The 25,157-nt window shown below is 50.7% G+C and overlaps 7 annotated features.

Moving 5' to 3' along the window:
* Positions 7,452 to 8,280: a transcriptional cis regulatory region, noted in NCBI's record as "candidate enhancer chr10.222 targeted for multiplex CRISPR interference". NCBI's record gives its function as "positively regulates NET1 gene expression with high confidence in K562 cells {active_cell/tissue: K562}" and the evidence as "EXISTENCE:mutant phenotype evidence [ECO:0000015][PMID:30612741]".
* Positions 7,549 to 7,598: an enhancer, noted in NCBI's record as "active region_2924". NCBI's record gives its function as "activates an Ori minimal core promoter by ATAC-STARR-seq in GM12878 lymphoblastoid cells {active_cell/tissue: GM12878}" and the evidence as "EXISTENCE:reporter gene assay evidence [ECO:0000049][PMID:35858748]".
* Positions 15,112 to 15,363: a transcriptional cis regulatory region, noted in NCBI's record as "candidate enhancer chr10.219 targeted for multiplex CRISPR interference". NCBI's record gives its function as "positively regulates NET1 gene expression with high confidence in K562 cells {active_cell/tissue: K562}" and the evidence as "EXISTENCE:mutant phenotype evidence [ECO:0000015][PMID:30612741]".
* Positions 16,477 to 17,048: an enhancer, noted in NCBI's record as "NANOG-H3K27ac-H3K4me1 hESC enhancer chr10:5512635-5513206 (GRCh37/hg19 assembly coordinates)". NCBI's record gives its function as "activates a minimal SCP1, AML or CMV promoter by ChIP-STARR-seq in primed H9 embryonic stem cells {active_cell/tissue: H9 hESC(primed)}" and the evidence as "EXISTENCE:reporter gene assay evidence [ECO:0000049][PMID:30033119]".
* Positions 17,049 to 17,620: an enhancer, noted in NCBI's record as "H3K27ac-H3K4me1 hESC enhancer chr10:5512063-5512634 (GRCh37/hg19 assembly coordinates)". NCBI's record gives its function as "activates a minimal SCP1, AML or CMV promoter by ChIP-STARR-seq in primed H9 embryonic stem cells {active_cell/tissue: H9 hESC(primed)}" and the evidence as "EXISTENCE:reporter gene assay evidence [ECO:0000049][PMID:30033119]".
* Positions 17,621 to 18,192: an enhancer, noted in NCBI's record as "NANOG-H3K27ac-H3K4me1 hESC enhancer chr10:5511491-5512062 (GRCh37/hg19 assembly coordinates)". NCBI's record gives its function as "activates a minimal SCP1, AML or CMV promoter by ChIP-STARR-seq in naive H9 embryonic stem cells {active_cell/tissue: H9 hESC(naive)}" and the evidence as "EXISTENCE:reporter gene assay evidence [ECO:0000049][PMID:30033119]".
* Positions 20,022 to 20,658: an enhancer, noted in NCBI's record as "H3K27ac-H3K4me1 hESC enhancer chr10:5509025-5509661 (GRCh37/hg19 assembly coordinates)". NCBI's record gives its function as "activates a minimal SCP1, AML or CMV promoter by ChIP-STARR-seq in primed H9 embryonic stem cells {active_cell/tissue: H9 hESC(primed)}" and the evidence as "EXISTENCE:reporter gene assay evidence [ECO:0000049][PMID:30033119]".

Below are 25,157 nucleotides of genomic sequence, written 5' to 3'. Positions count from 1 at the left end.
CTGAGGCGGGGGCAGATTTCAACAGGGGTGGGGCGTTCTTGGTGAGGAAACTGCATGAGTGACGGTTTGGAAGTGGGAGCGTCAGTGTCTTTTGGGGAGCCCGCGCTGCCTGGGAGGTAAGGGAGAGGTCCGAATGCCGTCGCAGACAGCCTGATGGTTTGCTGAAGGAGTCTGGATCCTTTTCAAGTCCCAGTGAAGCCTGGTGATATGGCCTTGGGCAAGTCAGTGGCTCTCTCTGCCTCAGTCTCCTCAACTGTAGCTGGGGGTAACAGTGAGACCCGCCTCAACGTGGTTGTGAGGAGGGTGGGGGGTGGGGGATGTGGAGAAAGTGCTAAGAACAGCGTCTGTGGGGCCGCAGAAGTGTTTTGCATAATGTCACCAAGATTAGTGCTATTTCTTCCCCAGAAGATCAGATGGAGACTCACGGAAGGTTTTTAACCTGTGGGGACGTGCGGCCAAATTGTGCTTTAGGAAGCTTATGCTGGCAGTGATGTGTGGTATGAAGGAGGGCAAGGGAGATGGGCCCTGTAGGAGGCAGATTCGGCCACCTAAGCCTGAGCTGATTAGGACAGGAGGGAAGGTGGAGGCAGTCAGCAGAGAAAGGAAGGGACGTGGGGAGGGGAAGCAGAGAGGAAGGCGTTGGAGGGACAGGGCCTGACTTAGTAACCCCGGGGCCTTGAGCAGTTCTGGACGAGGTGGGAGGGGAGTGAGCAGGGGACGGGAGAGACTCCAGCCCCACCAGGCTGAGCCGTGTCCACACCCTGCCGGGTCAGAGTTACTGCTGGTACCATCGGGAGGGTGGGCCAACCAGGCCCATCTGGCCTCTTGCCTGTCAGATGGTGGAAGCATGTCAGAGTTCTCAGAATCCTGGAGCCACTGAGAGCCGGAGGAGCCCTTGTCCAAGACTCAGGCTGTGATCGGAACAGGGTAGAAGGTGCTGCTTCTAACCCTGGGGCCTGCCTGTCTCCAGAATTTGGAGAAAAGGAAAGTCCTGGACTCCTCTCAAGCCAGGAAGGTGCTGACCAGGAGGGGAGGGTCAGGGAGAGGGGAGTCAGCAGGGACAGCTGCCTCTCCTCCGCCTGCAGGCCCAGGCCCTTCCTAATCTCCAGCTCCACCAGCTTCAAGGCAGAATCTGAATCCACACAGAGTCTGAGGTATCTTGGAAACCCTCTCCTTCCCTCTTGGATGTGTGGACTGTCAGACATTGTGAAGAGGAGAAGAGGAAGAGGAAAGACGCTGCCCCCAGTATGCAGACAGAGAGCACCCCGTTCCAGAGAGGCCAGCGCTCCAGGAGTGACAGCTGCTAATGCCCTTCTTCCTTCAGTCTCCCTGCCCCAGCTACCCTCTCCCTCCCTCCTCTCCCTCCTTCCCTTTCTTCCCGCAGCAAAACACACGGAGCCCAGTGATCTGCAGGCACAGTGCCGGGCCCTAGCGCTCCATGGGCACAAGTGACAGCTGTGGCCGAGGTCGGGGAGGGTGCTGGACTGGAAGCCTTGGGAGGCTCTGAGCACACAGGATTTGGGGCTGATACTATTGAGGGTCAGAGGCTGCTGGACTGGGTTGTAAAGCATCTGAGGCTTTGAAGACCATTTGGATAATTGGGTGTTGCAGGCTCAGGGTGAGTTTGGGGCTTCCTGGAGACTTTGGGGTGCAGAGTAGCCCCTTCCCAGGCCGGCTCTCTGCCTGCCTTTGGACCTGGGATGTTTCTGCTGGGAAGCAAGTGGACTGGTGCCTTGGAGAGGATGCCTGTGGGGAGGGGCTGGACTGCTCACAGGGCCTCCTGATCCTCGTTTCTCAGTGTCACTGATGTTCAATTCTGAAAGTTCTGCCTTTAGAGTTATCTCAATAGCCCAATGTGCCTCCTTCCTGGCATGGTTGTCCAGGGGCAGACACCCTTCTGGGGTTGGCCTGTTTGGGAGAAGCCTGAGATCTGCAGAGAAGTCTGCCAGGCGGCCTGGGACTAAAAGCTGCAGAAGGTGGGGCATGAGGAAGCAGTGGGCAGGCAGAAGGAGTGGGCAGGTGGTCTGCTGCTGCCTCGGGGATGCAGCTTGAGCTGGACTTTCTGCCTGGCTCCGTCTTGTCACCGAGTTCGCAGCATAAACGTCATCCCTCAGAGACGCTGACTCGATCTCTAATAAAAGCTATCAGCCTGTCCCCCTTTACTACGAGACCCCTCTTAGCTCTGCAGAGCATCCATCACAGTTAGGCATTTTTGCCTTTTTTTCCATCCACCCACGCTTCCCACCCCACCAGGACGTGAGCTTGGACTTCATCTTGTCATCCCAGCAGCAAGGAGTCGATTTTGCAGGATGGATGGAAAACACAGAGAGGACCAGCTGTTTCATTTCTAGGCACCTCACTTCTAACCTGGAACCGGTTCCGAGAGGAAGGACCAGGAAGACCCATGTGTCGGGAATGGTGGACAGAAGGAGTGTGCTCAGCTGCCGCCGAGAAGACCACACGCTGGGTGCTGAAAAGATGGGGGGACCTGCTAGGAACCATGGCCCTGGGCTAAGTCGGGGATGAAGGCGGGAGCTGCTGTGCTGGACTGCAGCTCAGCACAGAGACAGTGAGCCTAGATTGCAGAGCTGCCCAGGGAGGGATGTCACCTTGGGGGATGGAGGCTGCAGGTGCTCCTCAGACCTTAGGGAAACATTTGGGAGGGAGCTTGTTGAGGAGATACAGGCACCTCAGGGTGGCTGGGCTGGATGGACTTTGATGACCCTTCCTTTTTTGAGACCTGATGGTTCTCTAATTTGGGAATCATTTCCAAAGATGGGTCTAAAAATCCTTGTTTCATTGGAAATAATGAGTTTGCTATGATGCTTAAGACCAAGCATGTCACCATTTGTTATTACTGCACTTTTCCCTGCCGTTTTCCTTTCCTTTTATTTTTAATGGATGATGTTAGGTTGCAATGACATTTTGTTTCTATATAAATATTTAAAGGTCTTCATAAACATATAAATGTCTTCATACATTTTTGTTTGCTTCTAGAACAATGTGTATCCTACTATTGTATTTTTGCTACAGTATATGAACGTGGAGGTGTGCATAAGACAGTAAAACACTATTCACCAAAAGATAAAAAAGAGATATTTGCAGGATGTGGAATTATGAACATTTTTTTGTTTTTATATGTTTTCTAATTTTGCTTCAACAAGCACATACCTGTTTTTACAAAAGAAGAAAAACAGATGATGAATAACATAGGTGCATCATTTATATCCACGATGAGCCAGAGCCAGCTCCTGACTCATGAGACTGACTTTGTGAGCTCTTCACTGCTGCAGGGATACAGCTGCATGAAATACAATGAATCAGCTGTATCACGTTGGCAACTTGAAACTGGCCCTGGTGGTAGTATTTACACCACAGCAATTGGCAAATGCTACAAATCAGGTCCTTTTTCCCTTGGAAAGCTGGTTGTTAACCATGTACCAGTCCACCGCTATTTATATTATTCATCAATCAGTAAAAAATATTTAAGCAGTAGAGGGGTATGGGGTATGGTTTTCAAAATCCGTAAATGACATGAAAAATAATTTGTTTTCGAGTTTTCCATAACTACAGAGCTTTACAGTTTCTATTCCTCCCTCACATACATGATCTCATTTAATCCTTAGGACAATGCTAAAATATTCTTATTTTATAGATGAAATACTTATTTCAGATTTTATGACAGGTAAACTCTGGTAGAATTGGATTGTTCTAGATGAACTGGATGTTCTACTAGAACATCCACATTGACTTTGAGAAATTCGGAATGCCTCTAAAAGCCACCTAGAACTGGAGTTTTCGTCTTTTCTGAGAGTTTTAAATGTGTAGGAGAACTTTTTGAAAATCCTCCATCAGTATAAAATCATTTCAATTGTGTTTCATGAGGCTGCAGTTGTGTAATTTTGACATTTCTTTCTCAGTGTCCACCCCTTCTCCGCTCAGCCTAGCACCATGTGCATCCCACCCTCGTTCCTTCAAGACCTTTCCTGTGGCCTGATTGATTGTGCTAAGGGCCCAGTTTGGTCTGGACAGGAAGACAACAGAAGGGAGTGAGGTCAGAGGGGACCGTTGGATGGAGGGTTGGAATGTGAAAAGGGGTCACCAGCAGATTTCAACACAGGTACTTTTTGCCTGGAGCATTTAGGACCTGATGCATTCCAAATAAACAATAGGTTTTTGCTTTTGTTTTTGTTTTTTTGAGACACGGTCTCTCTCTGTTGCCCATGCTGGAGTGCAGTGGCACATTCCTAGCTCTCTGCAGCCTCAAACTCCTGGGCTCAAGCAATCCTCCCACCTAGGGCTCTTGCGTACACAGGACTGCAGGTGCACACCACCAAGCCCAGCTAGTTGTTTCTTTTTTTCTTTCTTTTTTTTTGTTTTTGAGATGGAGTCTCATTCTGTCACTCAGGCTAGAGAGCAGTGGCACAGTCTTGGCTCACTGCAACCTCCTCCTCCCGGATTCAAGTGATTCTTGTACCTCAGCCTCCTGTGCAGCTGGGATTACAGGCCGGTTCATTTTTGTATTTTTAGTAGAGATGGGGTTTTGCCATGTTGGCCAGGCTGGTCTTGAACTCCTGACCTCAGGTGATCCACCCGCCTCAGCCTCCCAAAGTGCTTGGATTACAGGTGTGAACCACCGCGCCCGGCCTTGTTTCTTTTTTTTTTTTTTTTTTTTGTAGAGATAGAGTCTTGCTATGTTTCCTTTGCTGGTCTTAAACTTCTAGGCTCAAGGGATCCTCCTGCTTTGGCCTCCCAAAATGCTGGGATTATGGACCTAAGCCACCCTGCCAGGTCCAAATTTGATGTCCAAATGCAAACAATCCCAGTGACTGAAAATAAACCAACAATGTATTTGGAAAAATTAGTATGATACACAATTTAGGATAAAATGTTTGGGAAGAAATAAGCAAAAGTTGAGGATATGTTGCTGTCATTTGTGATGTTGGCATGAATATCATGGTGGGTCTCATTTTGAGTCCCTTTAAAAGCCACTTTGTTATTTTTATGCTTCTGATACTTAGATTCCCAGAGAAATAGTCATCTACTGTATTTTAGAAAGTAGAGTGGAAATTTATCTTAAACTACAGAGGAGAAAAAGGTCAAACTTCAGTATTTTGAGTTAAATGTACACATTCATTCAGTAAATGTGTTTGGATAACTGTTGCGAAGGCTCTGATGATGTGATATGAACAGGACAGAAATGGTCTCTGTCCATGCAGAACTTACCGTTCACTGGTGAGGGGGCCGTGGGTTGAAGGGGGTCTCCAAAAGGGTATGTCCAGGCTCTAACACCCAGTCATGTGAATGGGCCCTTATTTAGAAATAGGGTCTTTGCAGATGTAATTAAGGATCTCGAGGGGAGATCAGCTGGATTTAGGGTGGGCCGGAAATCCACTGACTGTTGTCCTAAGAGAAGGGGACACAAACACAGAGACCCAGAGACCGCGGTCATGTGAAGACGGAGGCAGAGACTGCACGGAGGGGTCCTGGCTGCCCTGGATGATCAGAGAGATGTGGAGGGATTCTCCCTCAGGGCCCTGCCTGTTGCAGGTGGTTAATCAGGCACCAGCCGGGCAGCAGAGGGCTCCCCTGCCACCCACCAGGAATGTCAGGGGATCATCGGGTGAGAGTTCAGCAGTTATCCCACCGCCTATCTAAAAACAATCATTGATCACAGGCTCCAGGGAGAGGTGATTCCCCAAACAGATAAAAAGTCTCGAGATGTGTAATCGGCTTCCAACAAAGTCTCAGAAATGGGGCGAGTAGGCTCGGGGATGGGCATTAAGAGACAAAACGGAGGAGTACGGCCTTTGAGGGCACTCCACTGGAAAAGGGAAGAAAGTCTCAGGGAGGGACACCCACCACTTCCTAAACTCAGGGCTCGGTGTTGGCCTCCCGGGGCTGAGGAGGGCACCGCGTGTGCAGGCGGCCCACCCTGAGGGAAAAAGCACGGAAGAGGAACGGGACCCCGGAAGGATGCCAATGTTTCCAGCCCCAAATCCAAAGGTCAAAGGCTGCACTCGTCCTTCCAGGGGTCCGCTTGGGTCTCTTCCAGTTGTTCTTCCCTTTGTTTCCTGCTCCAGAGCTTTTTAATAAACTTCCACCGCTGCTCTGAAATTTGCCTTGGTCTCTTTTTCTGCCGTATGCCCCTCTGTTGAATCCTTTCTTCTGAGGAGGCAAGAATTGAGGTTTTTGCCGACTTGCCAGTAACTCGGATATTTGCCACCCCTAACATTCCCACACCTGTGGCTCAGACTTCTGGCCCCCAGAACTGAGAAACGACACATTTCTGCTGTTTCAGGCCACCCAGTCTTGGTACCTTGCTACATAGTTGTAGGAAACCAACACAAGGGGGTAAAAAAGGGCCAGACATGTTGTTACAAGTGCATGTCCTGAGGAGAAGCACGCTGGTGCCTGTGGCGTCCTCACCGCAGAGCGACCTGCAATGAGTCCGCCGCTGCCCAGGTCTCCTCCCGTGTCCTGGATCAACACAAATTAGGAAAATGAAATGAGTGGTTACACAGCAACTGTGTTTGGTAGAAAGACATTTCAGGAACACGGGATCCTTGGCCGGAAGAGAGTTGGGAGCCGTGCACCAGATGTTCTGAGAGCCCCTCCAGCCGTGAGGACGGAGCCCACCAGATGTTCTGAGAGCCCCTCCAGCCGTGAGGACGGAGCCCACCAGATGTTCTGAGAGCCCCTCCAGCCGTGAGGACGGAGCCCACCAGATGTTCTGAGAGCCCCTCCAGCCGTGAGGACGGAGCCCCCAGGCCTCAGGGGGCGAAACGTGAGGCCCTGAAGCAAGAGCTGGGGAGTGGGGCCGGCCACGGGTTCATCTTGAGCCCAGCCCTGCTGACAGCTTCTGAGTAAGAACGGGAGATGGGGCCTCCTGTTCTGCGTGGCCTCTCAGAAAGTCCGAGAAGGATCTCAGCACAGGAGAAGCTTCATCCCTTGGTGTCCTTGGGGCTGTCACTCATGACCTGCCACCCCAGGGTTGGATAGGGTGGGTGGAGATGGGAGGTGATGACCTCGGGGCCCTCCAGGGAGGGGAAGGCAGGAGGGGTCAGCCCAACCACTGCCAGGAGGGGAAGCCTCAGGACCGCCCTGTGAGGCGGGAGGGCCTTCACCAGACTGACTCTGCCCTTCCCACTGAGGGGCTCAGATCAGCTTCATGAGTGGCAGTGGACAGCTGAGCTACTGAGTTCTAGAAGGCACCGGGCATTGGTGGGGCAGAGCCTCACGTGGACCCACGTGGGGAAAGAAGCAGAGGCTCCGTCACGGGGAGTTGTCGTGACCTTGAACTTGGCATCATCTTTGAAGAAGCTGAAGGGAAAGAAGGAATGACAGGTACGAGAGGGGGTCAAAGTGTTTTGTGCGTGTTTGAATTGGAAACACGTGCCTGGGTTCCATGTTGGGCAGAGCCTCTTGGACATGGTTTTCTCATTTGCAAAATGGAGACAGGGACACTTCTTCCTCTGCTTTATCACGCAGTCCTGGGTCAGGGCCACTCTGGGCCTGGTGGAGTGTGGTGCAGGTGCCGTGGCAGGGGACAGCTGTGGTTGGTGGAGTGTGGTGCAGGCACCATGGCAGGGGACAGCTGTGGTTGGTGGAGTGTGGTGCAGGCGCCGTGGCAGGAGACAGCAGTGGTTGGGGTAGTGCTGTGCACATGCCGTGGCAGGGGACAGCTGTGGTTGGTGGAGTGTGGTGCAGACACAGTGGCAGGGGACAGCCGTGGCTGCACCTGTGTCTTCGCAGGACAGGTCCCTGTGAGTGGGGCACTCATCTCCCGCCCATCAGGGCCCTGGGCTTCGGGGCCTGGGGCCCCGAGAAGATGGGCTGTTTTTATTTCTGTAGCTTCGGGTGGAGGCTGCCTAGTCTACCCAGGCCACTCGGCTTCCTTCTCTGGGTTTTCCATGAGGCAGAGGGGATTTCCTATCAGGAACCACCGTGGTATCTGTCAGGGCCTGTGGGGAGGGATGTTGGAAACAGAGCCCCTTATCTCTCCCAAAACACAACCCTGGTGCCTTGCTGTGGGCGGGCGCTGGAAAATAAAAAGTCTTTTTAAGCAGGTACTTTTAGACCAGAGGATTGTATTTGTGGGTGTGTTGTAATTATCACGGGGAAGTAGCTAAGGCATCTGGGGAGGAGAGGGGAGAAAGAAACAGAAGAATAGTGAAAATAGTAGCTTTGAAATGGACCACAGAGATCTCCAAGGGTTTGCCAGAATTTTGCTATGTGCCACTGATGGTGTCTGAGGGATTTCAGGGCTTGTGAGGGAAACAGAAAAGGAGACAGCAGACCCTTCTCAGAGCCAGAGAGGCCCAGGCAGCGCTTACTGACATTATTTTGTTTTCCGTATATACTTATTATCATTTCCTTCTATATAAAGCAAAGGAAGCTGGTTTTCCATTTAGAATAATCACATAAAGTGTTCATTTAAATTACGTTCACTAAAGACAGAAACTGTAGATTTGAAACTATTGAGTAGATAATGAATGAAAAAGTGCAAAACTGTGGCAGTGGCACAAAATTAGTGGGCCTGTGGGAACGCGATGTAATCCCAGCCTCTCATGTTCCTGGAGAAGAGGCCAAGACCACGGCGGGGGGCTCAGCCAGGGGCCTCCAGGAGAGAAGGACGCAGTGCAGCCAGGGTGTGAGGGGGCTGGAGGAGACGGACAGAGACATAGGCCTCAGAGGAGAATCGCGAGGGTACAGAAAGGGACCTTAACCGACCCAGACGCTCTCATGGATGGCTCTTGCCCAGCTCCAGGGGAGCCGAGGCCATAGACAGTTGCAGGTGGAGGGAGAGAGGCCCTCGGCGGCCTAGCTCTGGTCCTGCAGGCCAGGCGGCCCCCCTGCCCTGGCTCCTCAACACCTCCTGGTGAGGAGGCTCCCCTGGGAGAGGACACAGCACCGCTTACCTCCCACCCCTTGATCAAGTCCCGGGGACAGCCCCCAACCCATGCCAGAGGCAAAAACCTGGCCCCAGCCACAAAACGGACTTTCTGAAGATACAGCTTCCAAATCTTGTGATTCATTTTGCTAGAGGTTTTCAAAAATTCTTTGAGGCCTCAAAACTGCTTTTGCTTATCAAGAAAAGAGCGGGGGCCATGTTTTGTCCATGACCCATAGATTTCCAGCCTACCCAAAGGGAGGCAGAGGAGCAGGGAGACTAGAAGAGGTGGGTGCCGTCTGTCCTGAGGTAAGGAAAGAAGAGAGAGCACTCAGTGGCCTTGTGGTCTAGGACAGCTGGAGAACGGAGATAAACTTAAACAAGTCCAGGAGGAATTCAGGGTAGATGCCCAGGAAGGTCATGTGGTAAACCTGCGTGGGCTCTGCAGGGGCTTGGACTAAGTCACTTCTGGAAGCCCCTTTATGCCCCAGAAGTCTCTCTAGACAGAAGTCTCATGTGGGGGTGCAGGAAGGCAAGTGATTTTCCCAAGGCTGGTCCTTTCTCTCTGCATCTTACTGCCCGGGTATGCTTCCTGCATACAGAGGCCAGGAGCGTAGCGGCTGAGAGGTGACTCTGGCTCTGGTGGAGCCCTCTCTGCAGAGACTGCAGCAAGGACTGGCCCCCAGGGCGGGGCGGCGGAGGCCCTGCCCAGGCCCAGGGCAGGGGGTAGCTGAGTTTAGGGGTCCCCTGGGGACCACCAGGTGATACCTGCAGAAGATCACAGAGCCTCACAGGTTGGGACTTGAACCTGGGACTTTGGTGAGGTGCACGAGCTCCCCAGAGGGGTCCAAAGGACAGATGGACAAGGGAGCAATGACTGTCCTTAGAGACTAAGGATCCTCAGATGGCAGGACTCGCTCACTGGACAGTTTTCCAGGCCTGTGCTTAGCTGAGTAAATTAACACGTCTAAGGACAGAGCGTCTCTTTGTCAATGGGGCACGTGGATGAGGGGGTACCTGAGATACGGACGTGGGAGAGGGAGAGCCTGCAGGCAGCCGCGCACGCCAGTGTGCAGGGAGATGGCATCTTGGCTTAAATATTTCAGTCCCAGCAGCTGATACCTTCTCTCATGGTGTTAGCTGAGCAGCTGAGAAACTTTTCTTAAATCCGTGTAAATTCCTTTCATTTTGGTTATGCTATTTACCATTTCCATGGACTTCAAACATTTCAGCAGTGAAACACTTAAAAAAAATCAGGTCACATGAGAAGGACCCAGAGAGAAGTGGTTATGGGTTAGTATAAATTCATTTTGCTAGAGGTTTTCAAAAATTCTGAGTATGAATTTATTCCTAAATTCAGATCTGGAACACGGACTTAAGATGAGCAGCCTCCCGGCCTTTCCTGGGAGAACTGCTCAGCACAGTTAAGTCAGTTAATCCCCATGACTTCACCCCGTGGGTGTCGGAGCTGGATCACAGCCGCTCTGAGCAGAGCACTGGGGTTGCAGCTTCTGACTGGGGGCTGATATTTGAAGCCCCCATTTGCTATCTCTGTCCACGGCACCTTGACATGTAATCCTCATGTCTCCATCCCAGTCACTTGGTGAGGGACTGGGGTGCTCAGCTGCGGAGGGTCACGGCCCATCTCTTTGAGATGTCTGCTAATGCCCTCCAAGCTTCCCAGAGTAGATTTCAAAAATACCCAGCCAGCGAGTTCAGGTCAGACCATTCCAGCCTGACCCTGAAACTCAGGGAAAACATCTCTCTGGCCATTTTTTTGTGATGCAGAAACGGAGAACAGGAGCTTATTTATTTCATGCGCGTCCGTGTAAAGAGACCACCAAACAGGCTTTGTGTGAGCAACAAGGCTGTTTATTTCACCTGGGTGCAGGTGGGCTGAGTCTGAAAAGAGAGTCAGCGAAGGGAGATGGGGTGGGGCTGTTTTGTAGGATTTGGGTAGGAAAAGGAAAATTACAGTCAAAGGGGGTTGTTCTCTGGCGGGCAGGAGTGGGGGTCGCAAGGTGCTCAGTGGGGGAGCTTTTGAGCCAGGATGAGCCAAGAGAAGGAATTTCACAAGACAATGTCATCAGTTAAAGCAGGAACAGGCCATTTCACTTCTTTTGTGGTGGAATGTCATCAGTTAAGGCAGGAACCGGCCATCTGGATTGTACGTGCAGGTCACAGGGGATATGATGGCTTAGCTTGGGCTCAGAGGCCTGACATTCCTGTCTTCTTATAGTAATAAGAAAAATAAAATGAAAAGTGTTGGGACGGCGAAAATTTTGGGGGATGGCATGGAGAGATTATGGGCGATGTTACTCAGGGCTGCTTCGAGCGGGATTAGGGGCGGCGTGGGAAACTAGAGTAGCAAAGATTAAGCTGAAGGAAGATTTTGTGGTAAGGGGTGATATTGTAGGGTTGTTAGAAGAAACATTTGTCATTTAGAATTATTGGTGATGGCCTGGATACAGTTTTGGATGAATTGAAAAATGGAATAAGAAAAGGAGAAAAACAGGTATTAAAGGTCTAAGGATTGGGAGGACCTAGGACATTTCATTAGAGAGTGCCTAAGGAGATTCAGCATAGTCCTGCCAGCGAAGATTATTTATTTACTTGAAGAGTTAAGAGTGGCAGTATGGGGATAGCACCAGGAGATATCAGCTGTGATGGCTTGGAGAAACAGTGTAAACCAGCAGTGTAAACAAGAGCAGGGCATGTATGAGTAGTTGAGAACGGTGAATAGGAGTATGACTAGACAGAAGATAGTAGGGATGACAAGTTTTTTTGGGGGCACAGTCTAAGTTGGTCTGGTGTCTGGAATGAGACTGGGGCCTAATAAAAAGGAGCGTCCATACAGGAGCTCAAATGGGCTGTACCCTGTAGCATTCTGAGGACAGACCTGAATTCTGAGAAGGGAAAGTGGTAAAAGTATTGTCCAGTCCTTTATAAGTTGGTGGCTGAGCTTGGTGAGGTGTGTTTTTAAAAGATTATTAGTCTGCTCTACCTTTCCTGAAGACTGAGGACCGTAAGGGATATAAAGGTTTCACTGGATACTAAGAGCCTGAAAAACTGCTTGGCTCATTTGACTAATAAAGGCTGGTCTGCTATCAGACTGTATAGAGGTGGGAAGGCTAAACCGAGAATTGTCTGACAGAACGGAAGAAATGATGGTGGTGGCCTTCTCAGACCTTGTAGGAAAGGCCTGTACCTATCCAGTGAAAGTGTCAACCTAGACTAAGAGGTATTCTAGTTCTCTGACTCAGGGCATGTTGAGTAAAGCCAATTTGCCAGTCCTGGGCAGGGGCAAATCCCTGAGCTTGATGTGTAGGGAAGGGAGGGGGCCTGAATAATCCCTGAGGAGTAGTAGAATAGCAGATGGAACACTGAGAAGTTATTTCCTTGAGGATAGATTTCCACGATGGAAAGGAAATGAGAGGTTCTAAGAGGCGGGCTAGTGGCTTGTACTATAGCATAGCCTGCCTTTGCTGGTGTGTGGCGATTAGGCCTGGTGGAACCGCCATCAATAAACCAAGTGTGATCAGGGTGAGGAACAGGAAAGAAGGAAATAGGGGGAAATGGGGCGAATGTCAGGTGGATCAGAGAGATACAGTCATAGGGGTCAGGTGTGGTACCAGGAATAATGTGGGGGTCCGGATTGAAGTCCGGGCCAGGAACAATGGTAATTGTGGGAGACTTAACAAAGAGTGAGTACAGCTGAAGGAGCCGGACAGCAGAAAGTATATGGGTCAAGTGTGAGGAAGAAAATAGATTTTGGAAGTTATGAGAACTGTAGAGAGTGAGTTGAGCATAGTTTGTGATTTTGAGGGCCTCTAAAGTATTAGAGTGGCAGCAGCTGCTGCACGGAGACATGATGGCCAGCCTAAAACAGTAAGGTCAAGTTGTTTGGACAAAAAGGCTACAGGACGCAATCCCAGTCCTTGTGTAAGAATTCTGACTGCACAGCCCTGCACTTCGGCTGTGTGTCATGAAAAAGGTTGGGATGAGTCATGGAGAGCTAGGGTGGGGTCAGTCTCTAAAGCTGTCTTCAAGGAACAGAAAGAGGAGTGGGGAAAGGATTTAGGATCTATGGGGTCAGCTAGGTTTCCTTTTGTGAGTTTATATAATGGTTTTGTTAGGATAGCAAAACCAGGTATCTAAAGTCGAAAGTATCTAACCATGCTTAGGAAGGAAAGGAGTTGTTGTTTTGTAGAAGGGGTTGGGGTCTGAGAGATCAGCTGGACATGATCAGCAGGGAGAGCACGTGTGTTTTTATGAGAATTACACCAAAATAGGTAAGAGATGAGGAAGAAATTTGGGCTTGACTGAAGTAATGGGGGCTGTCTGTGAAGCTTTGCGGCAGTACAGCCCAGGTAATTTGCTGAGCCTGATGGGTGTCAGGGTCAGTCCAAGTGAAAGCAAAGAGAGGCTGGGATGAAGGGTGCAAAGGAATAGTAAAGAAAGCATATTTGAGATCTAGAACAGAATAATGGGTTGTGGAGGCAGGTATTGAGGATAGGAGAGTATAAGGGTTTGGCACCACGGGGTGGATAGGCAAAACAATTTGGTTGATAAGGTGCAGATCTTGAACTAACCTGTAAGGCTTGTCTGGTTCTAGGACAGGTAAAATGGGAGAATTGTAAGGAGAGTTTATAGGCTTTAAAAGGCCATGCTGTAGCAGGTGAGTGATAACAGGCTTTAATCCTTTTAAAGCGTGCTGTGGGATGGGATATTGTCAATGAGCAGGGTAAGGGTGATTAGGTTTTAATGAGATGGTAAGGGGTGCATGACCGGTCGCCAAGGAGGGAGTAGAGATATCTTATACTTGTGGGTTAAGGTGGGGGGATACAAGAGGAGGACACAAAGGAGGCTTTGGATTGGGAAGAAGGGCGGCAATGAGATGTAGCTGTAGTCCAGGAATAGTCAGGGAAGCAGATAATTTAGTTAAAGTGTCTCAGCCTAATAAGGGAACTGGGCAGGTGGGGATAACTAAAAAGGAGTGCTTAAAAGAGTATTGTCTAAGTTGGCACCAGATTTGGGGAGTTTTAAGAGGTTTAGAAGCCTGGCTGTCAATACCTACAACAGTTATGGAGGCAAGGGAAACAGGCCTTTGAAAAGAAGGTAATGTGGCATGGGTGGCCTCCATTTTGACTAAGAAGGGGACGGACTTACCCTCCACTTTGAGAGTCACCTAGAGTGTCTGTGATGGTCTTGTAGGCTTCTGAGGTGATCGGGCAGTGTCAGTCTTCAGCTGCTAAGCCGAGAAGATCTGAGAAGAAGTCAGTCAGACAGCCTTGGGCCAGAGTTCCAGGGGCTCTGGGAGTGGTTGCCCCGTGAGTTGAACAGTCTGATTTTCAGTGGGGTCCTGCACAGATGGGATGTGGCTTAGGAGGAATCCTGGGCTGTGGGCATTCCTTGGCCTGGTGGCCAGATTTCTGGCACTTGTAGCAAGCTCCTGGGGGAGGCGGGCCTGGAGGAACACCTGGCCACTGCGGTTTAGGTGTTTGGAAGTTCTTGTGTGCTGGAGATGTGGCTGGCATTTGTCTCACAGTGGAGGCAAGGAATTGCAACTCAGAAACATGTTGCTACTTGGCTGCCTCTACTCTATTGTACACTTGAAGGCTAGGTTAATGAAGTCCTTTTGTGGGGTTTGAGGGCCGGAATTTAATTTTTGGAGCTTTATTTAATGTCGGGAGCAGACTGGGTAATAAAATAAAATGTGTATTGAGAATAAGAAGGCCGGGCGCAGGGGCTCATGCTTGTAATCCCAGCACTTTGGGAGACCGAGGCGGGTGGATCATGAGGTCAGGAGATCGAGACCATGGTGAAACCCCATCTCTACTAAAAATACAAAAAAATTAGCCGGGCGTGGTGGCGGGTGCCTGTAGTCCCAGCTACTTGGAGAGGCTGAGGCAGGAGAATGGCGTGAACCCGGGAGGCGGAGCTTGCAGTGAGCCGAGACTGCGCCACTGCACTCCAGCCTGGGTGATAGAGCGAGACTCCGTATCAAAAAAAAAAAAAAAAAAAAAAAAAAAAGAGAATAAGACGGCCTTCTGACCTTTCAGGGTCTAGGGCTGTAAAGCGTCTCAGGGTTGTTGCCAAATGAGCCATGAACTGGGCTGGGTTTTTTATATTTGATGAAAAAGAGCCTAAACACTAACTGATTTGGGAGAGGTCGGATAAAGAAAAAGGAGCATTAACCTTGACTATGCCTTTAGCTCCAGCCACCTTTTTAAGAGGAAATTGCTGGGCAGGTGGGGGAGGGCTAGTCACGGAAAGAAACTGTAAGTCAGACCGGGTGTGAGGAGGGGAGGTGATAAAAGGATTATCGGGCGGAGGAGCGGAGGCTGAGGAAGAATTGGGACCTAGCTTGCCCTGGCTAGGAGGAGAGAGGTCAGATGGGTCTGTAGAAAAGGAAGATTAGAAAGACTCAGCAATGCTTGGGGTTGGGACTGAGGGGAGAGGCGGGAAGGAAAGAAGGAAGATTTGGGACCAGTTGCGTTGGGAACAGAGGCTAGGGAGGGACTGATGTGTAAAAGAATGCCTGGACGTCAGGCACCTCAGACCATTTGCTCATTTTACGACAAGAATTATTTAGACTTTGTAGGATGGAAAAAATGAAAGTGCCGTTTTCTGGCTATTCAGAGCCATTGTCAAGTTTGTATTGGGGCTAAGCAGTGTTGTAGAAGAAAATAAGACACTTAGATTTTAGGTCAGGCGAGAGTTGAAGAGGTTTTAAGTTCTTAAGAACACAGGCTAAGGGAGAAGAAGGAGGAATGGAGGGTGGAAGTTTGCCTATAGTGAAGGAGGCAAATTTAAAGAAAAGGGAGAGTAGAGACACGGAGGGAAGGGGTTTGGGGGTTCTTACCCTCTAGAAAAGCGGGAAAAGGGTCAGGGCACGGAAATAAGTGGTTGGGGCGCAGAGATAAGAGGTTGGGGCATGGAAATAAGGGGTTGGGGCACAGAGATGGGGGTTGGGGCACAGAAATAAGGGATCGGGGCACAGAGATAAGAGGTTGGGGTGTGGAAATAAGGGATTGGGGGTTCTTGGCCCCTAGAAAAGCGGGACTTGCCACTAAGGGTGAAGGAGAAGGGGTTGAGGGGTTCTTGCCCCTCCCCCAGAAAAGTGGAGAAGGGGTAGAGACACAGAGAGAACGGGTTGAGGTTCTTGCCCCTCCCCCAGAAAAGTGGGACTTGCCACTAAGGGTGAAGGACCAAGGCAGGCATCCCCGTGTGGTCAGACACCTCTGAAACGTGGGTGAATTATCAGAGAGGCATCCCTGCAATGATTAAACACCAAGGGAAGGCTGCCTTCCCAGTCCGTGACCAGCGCCGGAGTTTTGGGTCCACGGATAAAATGTGTCTCCTTTGTCTCTAACAGAAAATGAAAGGAATTGAAATTAAGAGAAGGAAGAGATTGAAGTGTGGTGCCAAGATTGAAAAGAGAAAGAGGTTGAGGGATAGTGAGGGAGGTTGGAGAAGAGAGTAAAAAGAGGCTGCTTACTGGATTTGAAATTGGTGAGATGTTTCTTGGGCTGGTTGGTCTAGACCTGAGGTCGTAGGTGGATCTTTCTCACGGAGCAAAGAGCAGGAGGACAGGGGATTGATCTCCCAAAAGGGAGGTCCCCTGATCCGAGTCACGGCACCAAATTTCATGCATGTCCATGTGAAGAGACCACCAAACAGGCTTTGTGTGAGCAACATGGCTGTTTATTTCACCTGGGTGCAGGTGGGCTGAGTCCGAAAAGAGAGTCAGCGAAGGGAGATGGGGTGGGGCTGTTTTATAGGATTTGGGTAGGTAAAGGAAAATTACAGTCAAAGGGGGTTTGTTCTCTGGCGGGCAGGAGTGGGGGTCACAAGGTGCTCAGTGGGGGAGCTTTTGAGCCAGGATGAGCCAGGAGAAGGAATTTCACAAGACTATGTCATCAGTTAAAGCAGGAACAGGCCATTTTCACTTCTTTTATGGTGGAATGTCATCAGTTAAGGCAGGAACCGGCCATCTGGATTGTATGTGCAGGTCACAGGGGATACGATGGCTTAGCTTGGGCTCAGAGGCCTGACAACTTATATTAATGAAAATAAAGTTAGTAAATGGAAGCAATGCAGCATCATGGGGAATGCATGGAATTAAAACTGGGAAAAATGTGTGATGATCACAGGCTCCTTCCAGCCACCGCGCCGCCAACATTTGCACCGAACACTCATGGGTCCTCCCTGGCACAGGCTTGGTGGGACCCACTCACCACTGTCCACTAACACGTGCCCTGGCTCCCAGCCACCTTAGGCACAGGCAGAGGAGGGTGTCCTGGCAGGTGGTGGCTGTCATCATGGACACTGCAGATGGGGGTGCTAGTTTCCTGGACTGTCCCCTTGGGCTTTGTCACTGCAGCCACTGATGCAACTCTGGGCCTTCCAAGTAAGGCAGCACCAAGCAGGGCCCTAGAAGGGCCAGAGATGCTGCTGCTCTGTCACCTCCAGGGAGCTTGCTTCTCCCTTCTAGAGCAAACACACGGCTAAACCATGGAGGAGTTTCTCCCTGGAGGCTGGCGATCTGGGGCCTTGCAGATCAGCAGCGGGAGAGAGCCCAGGAGGGCCTCCGTGAGGGGGACCCTACCTGTCTGCCCGCGGCCCCATGGTTGCCCACGCATGCTTAACCGGGATCTGAAGCAGAGTGGATCAGTAGCAGGATGGGCCAGGGGTGCTAGGCCTGGACTATCCCCCCAGTACCCTGGCTGCCTGCTTTCGCGGCTGAGAGCCCTGTCTCTGGTCCCTCTGTCCTGAGCCGTCCTGGGACTCTAGGCTTGAGTGGCATGGTAGGGCCCGGCAGTGACTCCACCCTAAGCCTCTTTCTTCTCCTCCTCTCCTCCCTTGTGGGCATGGTCCGGGCCGCCTGTCCCACTCCATTGGTCTCAGCACCTGGAAGGCTTAGCATCCGGACTGCCTGTGGGACCAGGCGTAGCTGTGTGCCGCCCCTGGCTCTGCCGCCCACCGGGCAACCTTGAGCACATCCCTGAAGCCTCAAACCTTCAATCATCATGAGGATTAAATAAAATAGTGGGTTGTGTTTAAGGTGCCTGGAAAAGTCCTCTCCTGGGACCTGGATGTTGGGCCTCTGCTCCTGATGGCCCTCACTGTGAAGACTGCGGGAGTCTCTCCAGCCCTCCCACATCCCCTGAGGCCAGAGCCTGCTGGGGCATGAGGTCATGCCAGCCAGAGCATCCACCCCACTTTTAGAATGTGTTTCTGGCGGGGGTTGAGGGGAGCTGGATTTCCCTTCCTGTGTTTGCTTCTGACTGTGGGACTAGCTGTGTGGGGTGTAGGGTATGTGGGCAGACATGGGGTTGAGGGCAGGGCATGTGCGAGGCCTCTCCGTGCAGGACAGAGCTGGGTTGGGAGGAAGGGGACAGACTGTGGGCTGCTGGCCTCCACTTACGGTTCTTTTCCTGCACCCTGCGGAGAGCAGGAGCAGGGCTGGGTGAGACAGTGGGTGTGCATCAGCGGTGGCTCTCACTGTGTTTCTATTGAACCATGATGCTCATGCATCTGACAAAGCCTACACTGTTGTTATGCATGGGGATTAGGATGATCAGAAGCATTCTGGTGTGAGAGAGATGAGGGGGAAGGAAGAAGAGACAGAGGAAGGAGGAGGGAGGGAGTGGAGGGAGAAAGGAGGAAAAGCGACTGAGCCCCACACTGTTCATTGTGTGGCCGGGGTGGCAGTGTGACCAACACTGAGCTGGAGGGAGGAACTGTGCTTGTCCCCACGTCCGAGCCACCCAGGAGCTGTTGCTAGAGATGCATTGATTCCCTCCTGGGTCTGTTTCCCCTGCCATGAAATGAAGCAAGGTTGAGTAAGATGGGGACATTCAAGGTCAGCTTATTTGCTGGTGTTCCCTGGGACATGGGATCCAGGGACAGAGGGCAGCCGGCCTCAGGCCTCAGACTGCAAGCAATGCCTGATGAGTGTTTATGTGGCCTGCTTGGCCTGCTCCTCTGTTTTGGGCCTCAGGGGATGAGGTCTTGGTGCCTTTTCTTGAGATTTGCTGCTTCTTTATTCTCTCTGGTTTGGGCCAAATTAGAGAGCTCTGATGAGTTCCTTCTGGCCTGGCTTTCCCAGTGGTGCACACCATGGTGACAACCCAGCCAACTTTCAGGACTTGGAGTCCTTACCCATTGCTGCACAACAGACTACATGAAAATCGAGGCTTCAAAGCACAATAAACAGGCATTCCCCCACATTTCTCTGGGGGCTGCTCAGCTGGATGGCTGTCTCAACATCTCCCATGAGGCTGCAGCCAGAGAGCAGCAGGTGGGGCTGCATCATCTGAAGGCTCGACTGGGGCTCCATCATCTGAAGGCTCGACTGGGGCTCCCTCCTGCAGCAGGCAGTGGGTGCTGGCTGTCTGCGGGAGGCCTCAGTTTTTCCTGTCTTGGACCTCTCTGCAGGGGAGCTCAAGTGTCCTTATGAATACTGGCTTCCTCCAGAGCAGGAGGTCCTGGACAGGGTAAGCAGAGGCAGAACTGTCTCTTATGGTGTAGCCTCCGAAATCACATTCTATCCCTTTTATCTTACTCTGTTGGCCTTGCTCTAAGTTACTGGCCCTGACACCTTGTGGGAAGGGTGTGAATCCTGGGAGGTGAGGTCCTCTGAGGCCTCCTGGAAGGCTGGCTCCTGGAATGCTGGGTCTGAGAGGCTCTGAGTCCCTGAGCAGCTTGTTCGCTGAGCCATGGACTCTGGCTCATGCAGAGCTGAAATCAGTCAGTCTTTACAGCTCACTCAGCAAACAAGTTTGAACACATTCTGTGTCACGCAAAGTGGTAGTTTAGGGGGACACACAGACCAATAGACTTGGAGACTTGTAGAGAGGGCAACACCCAACCTGGGAAGTGTTTGATGTTGGGGGCAGGAACCTAAGACCAGAGCATGGGGTGGGGCCCAGCAAGTAAAGAATGGGCTTCCCCAGGGACTCAGGGAAGGCTGCCTGGGAAAGGGAAGGCTCAGCTGCATGTGGAGGGGTACAGGGGATCCCGGCAGAGGGTGTTGGGGAGGGGGAGGCACAGCCCTGCAGGCAGGGGGACCACAGTGAGCAAAGGCACAGCCGGCCTGGCTGGTCAGAAGATTCAAGGTGCTGGGCACTGCCGGAGTTAGGGTGTCATTTCTCCACAGTATGCCCGGATTCCAGAACCTTCCAAAACAACAAAAAATTTCTCCTGCTTTGTAAAAATCCTGTTAAGTCAATGGTTAACTTGTTTGTTACTGCAACCAAGAAGCTCATTAGAAAGTTCTGGAGAGACTCAGCCCTGGAGGACCTGGGTGTAATGTTGGGCCAGCCAGAATGAAAGAAATAGTTTCCATCATGGAAAAGATTGTCTCAGGCTCCTTCGCTGCAGGCGAACATAGCTTCGTGGCTTTCGGGCCCCCTCCCCACTTGCTCTCAGCTAGGGTGTGCATGCATGTGTATTTATAGGCCCATGTGTCATTTTCCTTTGTTTTGGAAGAGCGTACTACCCACAGGGATCAGCAGAGGCTGCAAAGAACCCGAGGGACTCACGGGCCTGCTGGGGCTGGAAAGTTTAAAGGCTGCTTTGAGCTTTCGGTTCCATCTGCCACCCCATAAAATGCACATCTATGCGCATTTGATGGATGGAAAATAACACACCATCTATTCATTTGTACGCGTGGTGTGTGAGCTGCCGAGGCCTCTCCCTGTGGTCTGTCTGTTTCAGAGCTGCCTGTCTTGGATTATATATTCCTAGTGGGCAGAGACATTCTGCTAATCCTAACCCTCCTGCCCGGTGCACAGAGAGGCACGCGTGAAGTTTTGCAATGTGATAGAAAACAGGAGAGGCCTGCAGGCTACGTCAGCCCCATTGATGTCTTGTTCCCCTTTATCAGAGTTGCCCTGGGAGGCCCTGGCCCTCCCGGCCTCCCCCTCCCCTCCTTGACAGTCCCTCCTGGCTTCTTTCCTTCCCTTCCCCCACCTTGGGTAGGGAGCAGAGGGCTGAGCTCACACCTGGAAATCGCCCAAGACAAAGAGAACCTGCCTAAGAGTCTGCCTAAGGGGTGGGGACAGCGAGGCCTGTGATTGTAGTTGGCAAAGGTAAGTGATGTCAGACAGCAGACGTTTCTCCAGCCCTGCAGCAGTTTCCAGGCGTGGAGGGAGGCCTGGCGCCAACTTCTCAAGTCACGTTCTTCAATGAACAGTTGTGGTTTGAACTGTGGAGAGTGGGGCCTGCAGGGGAGAGAGAAATGCACCAGCCAAAGGCTGCAGCCCGACCCTCCTGATCTCATCGCTCAGCCCTGCTGGGGAGGAGTCTGGGGCTGCAGCTCTGGGCGACTTCAGAGTGGACTGAGAGAGGAGAGGGCTGTGTTTCTGACTGCAGCAGGCGGCCTGCTTCCTCTCTGCCATGAGGCCGGGAAGAGGAGATACAAAGACAAGGGGAATCTGTCCCCAGGTTGGTTGACTCCAGGTTACCTGGAGCAGAGCCCAGGGACACCCACAGACTTGCCTGGGGGAGGAGGGCGAGGCTGTAAGTTCCCTCATCGCCCAGATCAGGGTGCTGCTGCTGAAGGCTGTGATTTAGGAAAACGCCAGTCCTTGCCTTTTACCTGGTTCTTTTGCAACCCCGCTCCCCGCCCACCCCAGTGAAAGGTTCACCCGCACAGGCTAGGGCGGCCTGGGGTTGGGCCCTGAGGCTCCTAGGCCTCTGGATGTCGAATTTTCCTAAGTAGTTATTGTCTGAGAGTGAGAGGTTGCAGCCCAGACCTCCAGATGAAAACAGCCTGGGCCGCTTTGCTCAGCATTTAAATTCAGCGTTTGTAGAATTTGCATGGTATCATTCCAGTTTTGATCTCCATAGATATGACTTGAAGGAAGTGTACTAATGCCATCTATTTTTCTGGGTCTGGATTTTTTTTATTGACTTTATGTTTTAAAGAAGTTTTATGTTCATAGTTAAATTGAGTGCTAAGTACAGAGTTCTCAAGCCTCCTCCGCCATCAACATCCCTACCAGATGGTGCGTTTGTTACAATCGGTGAAGCTACATGGACACTTCATTGTCACCCAGAGTCGACAGTTTACCTGAAGGCTCGTTCTTGGTGTTGTACATCGTGTGGGTTTGGACAAATGTATAACGACATAGCTCCACCATGATAGCATCATACTGATCATACTGAGTTGTTTCCCTGCCCTAAAAATCCTCTGCACTCTGCCTACTCATCCCTTTCTTCCCCCAACCCCTGGCGACTACTGATCTTTGCACTGTCTCCATAGTTTTGCCTTTATCAGAATGTCCCGTAGTTGGAGTCTTATAGGAAGTAAGCTTTTCAGGTGGGCTTCTTTCACTTAGTCATATGCATTCAGTGTTCTGTGTCTTCGCACAGCTTGATAGCCCATTTCTTTTCAGTGCTGAATCGTATTCCATTGTCTGCATGTTCCACAGTTCGTTCATCCATTCACTACTGTCTTAGTCTGTTCGTGCTGCTATAATGAAACATTGGAGACTAGGTAATTTATAAAGAAAAAAAATTCATGTCTCATAGTTCTGGAGGCAGGAAAGTCCAAAATGAAGTTGTTGGCAGATTTGTTGTCTGGGGAGGGCTGCTCTCTTGTTTTCCAAGATGGTGCCTTGTTGCTGCGTCCTCTGGGGGAGGTGGACACTTTGTCCTCACATGGCAGAAGAAATGGAAAGGAAAGAACCTTCTCACTCTCCCCAGCCTTTTTATAAGGGCTCTAATCCCACCTGTGAGGGCTCTGGCCTCATCACTTAATCACCTCCTAAAGGCCCCACTTCTTACTACTATCACATTGACCATTAAGTTTCAACATACAAATTTTCATGGACACATTCAGACCATACGTAGCACCTGCTGAAGAACATCTTGGTTCCTTCCAAGTTTTGGCAAGTATGAATAAAGCTGCTATAAACATCTGTGTGCAGGTTTCTGTGTGGATATAAGTTTTCAACTCAATTGGGCAAATACCAAGGAGCAAGATTGCTGGATTGCAGGGTAAGAGCATGTTTAGTTTTTTAAAGAAGCTGCCAAACTGGCTTCCATTTTGCATTCCTACCAGCAGTGAATGAGCGTTCCTGTTGTTCCACATCCTTGCCAGCAGCTGATGTTGTCAGTGTTTTGGAACTTGACATTCTAATTGGTGTGAAGCGCGATCTCATTGTCGTTTTAATTTGCAATTCCCTAATGACATATGATGTAGAACATCTTTTCATTTGCCTATTTGCCATCCGTATATCTTCTTCTTTTTTTTTTTTTGGTTTGTTTTGAGACAGAGTTTCACTTTGTCACCTAGGTTAGAGAGCAGTAGTGCAGTCTCAGCTCACTGCAACCCGTGCCTCAGCCTTCCAAGTAGCTGGGATTAGAGGCCTGTGCCACCATGCCTGGCTAATTTTTGTATTTTTAGCAAAGAAGGGGTTTCATCATGTTGGCCAGGCTGGTCTCAAACTCCTGGCCTCAAGTGATCCACCGCCTTGGCCTCCCAAAGTATTGGGATTACAGGCGTGAGCCACTGCGCCAAGCCTGTATATCTTCTTTGGTGAGATGTCTGTTCAGGTCTTTTGTGAGTTTTTTAATTGGGTCATTTTCTTATTGTTGAGTTTTAAGAGTTCTTTGCATATTGTGGATAACTGCCCTTCATCTGGTGTGTCTTTTGCAAATATTTTCTTATAATCCGTGGCTTGTGTTCTCATTCTCTTGAAGTAACTTCTTTTTCATACTTTCCTGAATTTTCCTAATTTTCCATGATAAAAATGTATAATTTTAGCATCAGAAGAAATATGTTTAAAGCTCTAATATTTTACTAAATCGATATTTTATCATTATCTAATTTTTGCTTTAGAAAGATCATTTGGCTGCTATATGGAGGATGGATTGAAGAATGGTGAGAGTTTGGGGACCCGTGAAAGGCTAATGCTGTACTTCAGGCAAGAGCTTTCTGCAGCTAATAGTGTTTGGAACAATGAAGGCAGTGGGAAGTGGTAGAATTCTGAATGCATCACGGAGCTGACACAGCCTATGGATGGAGTGGTCAGGGAGCATGAGTAAAGTAGAGGAATCAAGAATGGGTGGAGAGTGGCGCCGTTTACTAAGATGTGGAAGACTGGGGGTGCAGAGGATTCAGGATGGAAAAGCTAGAGTCCTCTCGGGTTCTGTTAAGCATGAAGCACATCAGACTTGAAGAGGACATGTCAAGTAGGATCTGGGTAGCAAGTCAGGAGCTCAGAGGGGTGGTCAGAACTGGAGATGTAAATCTGGAAGTTGTCAGGTGTTGGTGGTTAAAGCCATGGGATGGATCAAACTCCCCAGTAGATAAAACAAGATGTCTGGGAACTAAGCCATGGCTTTCCAACATTTACAGGTCTGGAAGAACAGAGGTCCAAAGGGAGAAGAGGCGAGGGCGGTAGGAGATGAGGAGAGTGTGCTGGTACCCAAGAGCGGAGGAGGTGTTCCAGGTGCTGCCGAGGTTGAATCTGATGAATTACTCCTGGAAGCTGCCGGCTGCTGGAGATGGGAGCTGGGGTTGAGGGTGGCTTAGAGGAAGGTGGGGGTGGGGGTGGCCTAGAGAAAGCTGGGGAGTCAGCGTGCAAAGGGAGCAGGGACGTCTGGGCACGAGTGCAGTTGTGTGAGCTGATGATGGAGGGGGAAGGGGTGCAGGTTTAGGAGGCCGACCCTGGATACTGGTACTTGGGGGAGAATCGGAGGTGGGGAGCATGCATGGTAAAGAGCTGCTTTGCCCTGGGAGGGCACCACTGAGCCCAGCATTTAGAGCATGGCCTGGGAGTTTGGGGTAGGGTAGAATGGGGCAGGGGGACCACATCTCAGGCTGGAGGGAGGGCAGGCTGGACGGGAGAGGAAAAGCCGGTGCCTGGTGGGACAAGGTGAAGGAGGGAAGGAAGAACAACAAATACAGGGGCACTCAGATGCATTTAATCTCAGCTTTGCCACAAGCCAGCTGCCTGATCTTGGGCAATTCACTTGATGTTTGTAGATTTCAGGTTCCTCAGCTGGCAAAGGGGATCAGACTAAGTGATCCATGTGGGTTTCCAGGTCTAACTTGATAGATCTGTCCCTGCTTGTCCTGCCCAGTGAAAGAGGAAAACAAAAGGCTATCCCACCCGCCCCCAGCAGCAGCTGTTGAGCAATGTCGATTCTATGGGAGATTATCAGATTCCTCTGAATCTAGCTAATTTTGCCTTACTTTCCAGTCTACTCAACAGCAAACATTTCCAGGTATTGTAACGCTATCTCC

The sequence above is a fragment of the Homo sapiens genome, chromosome 10 (genome assembly GCF_000001405.40).
Source record: "Homo sapiens chromosome 10, GRCh38.p14 Primary Assembly".
Lineage (NCBI taxonomy): Eukaryota > Metazoa > Chordata > Mammalia > Primates > Hominidae > Homo > Homo sapiens.
This window is presented reverse-complemented; position numbering and strand designations above follow the sequence as displayed.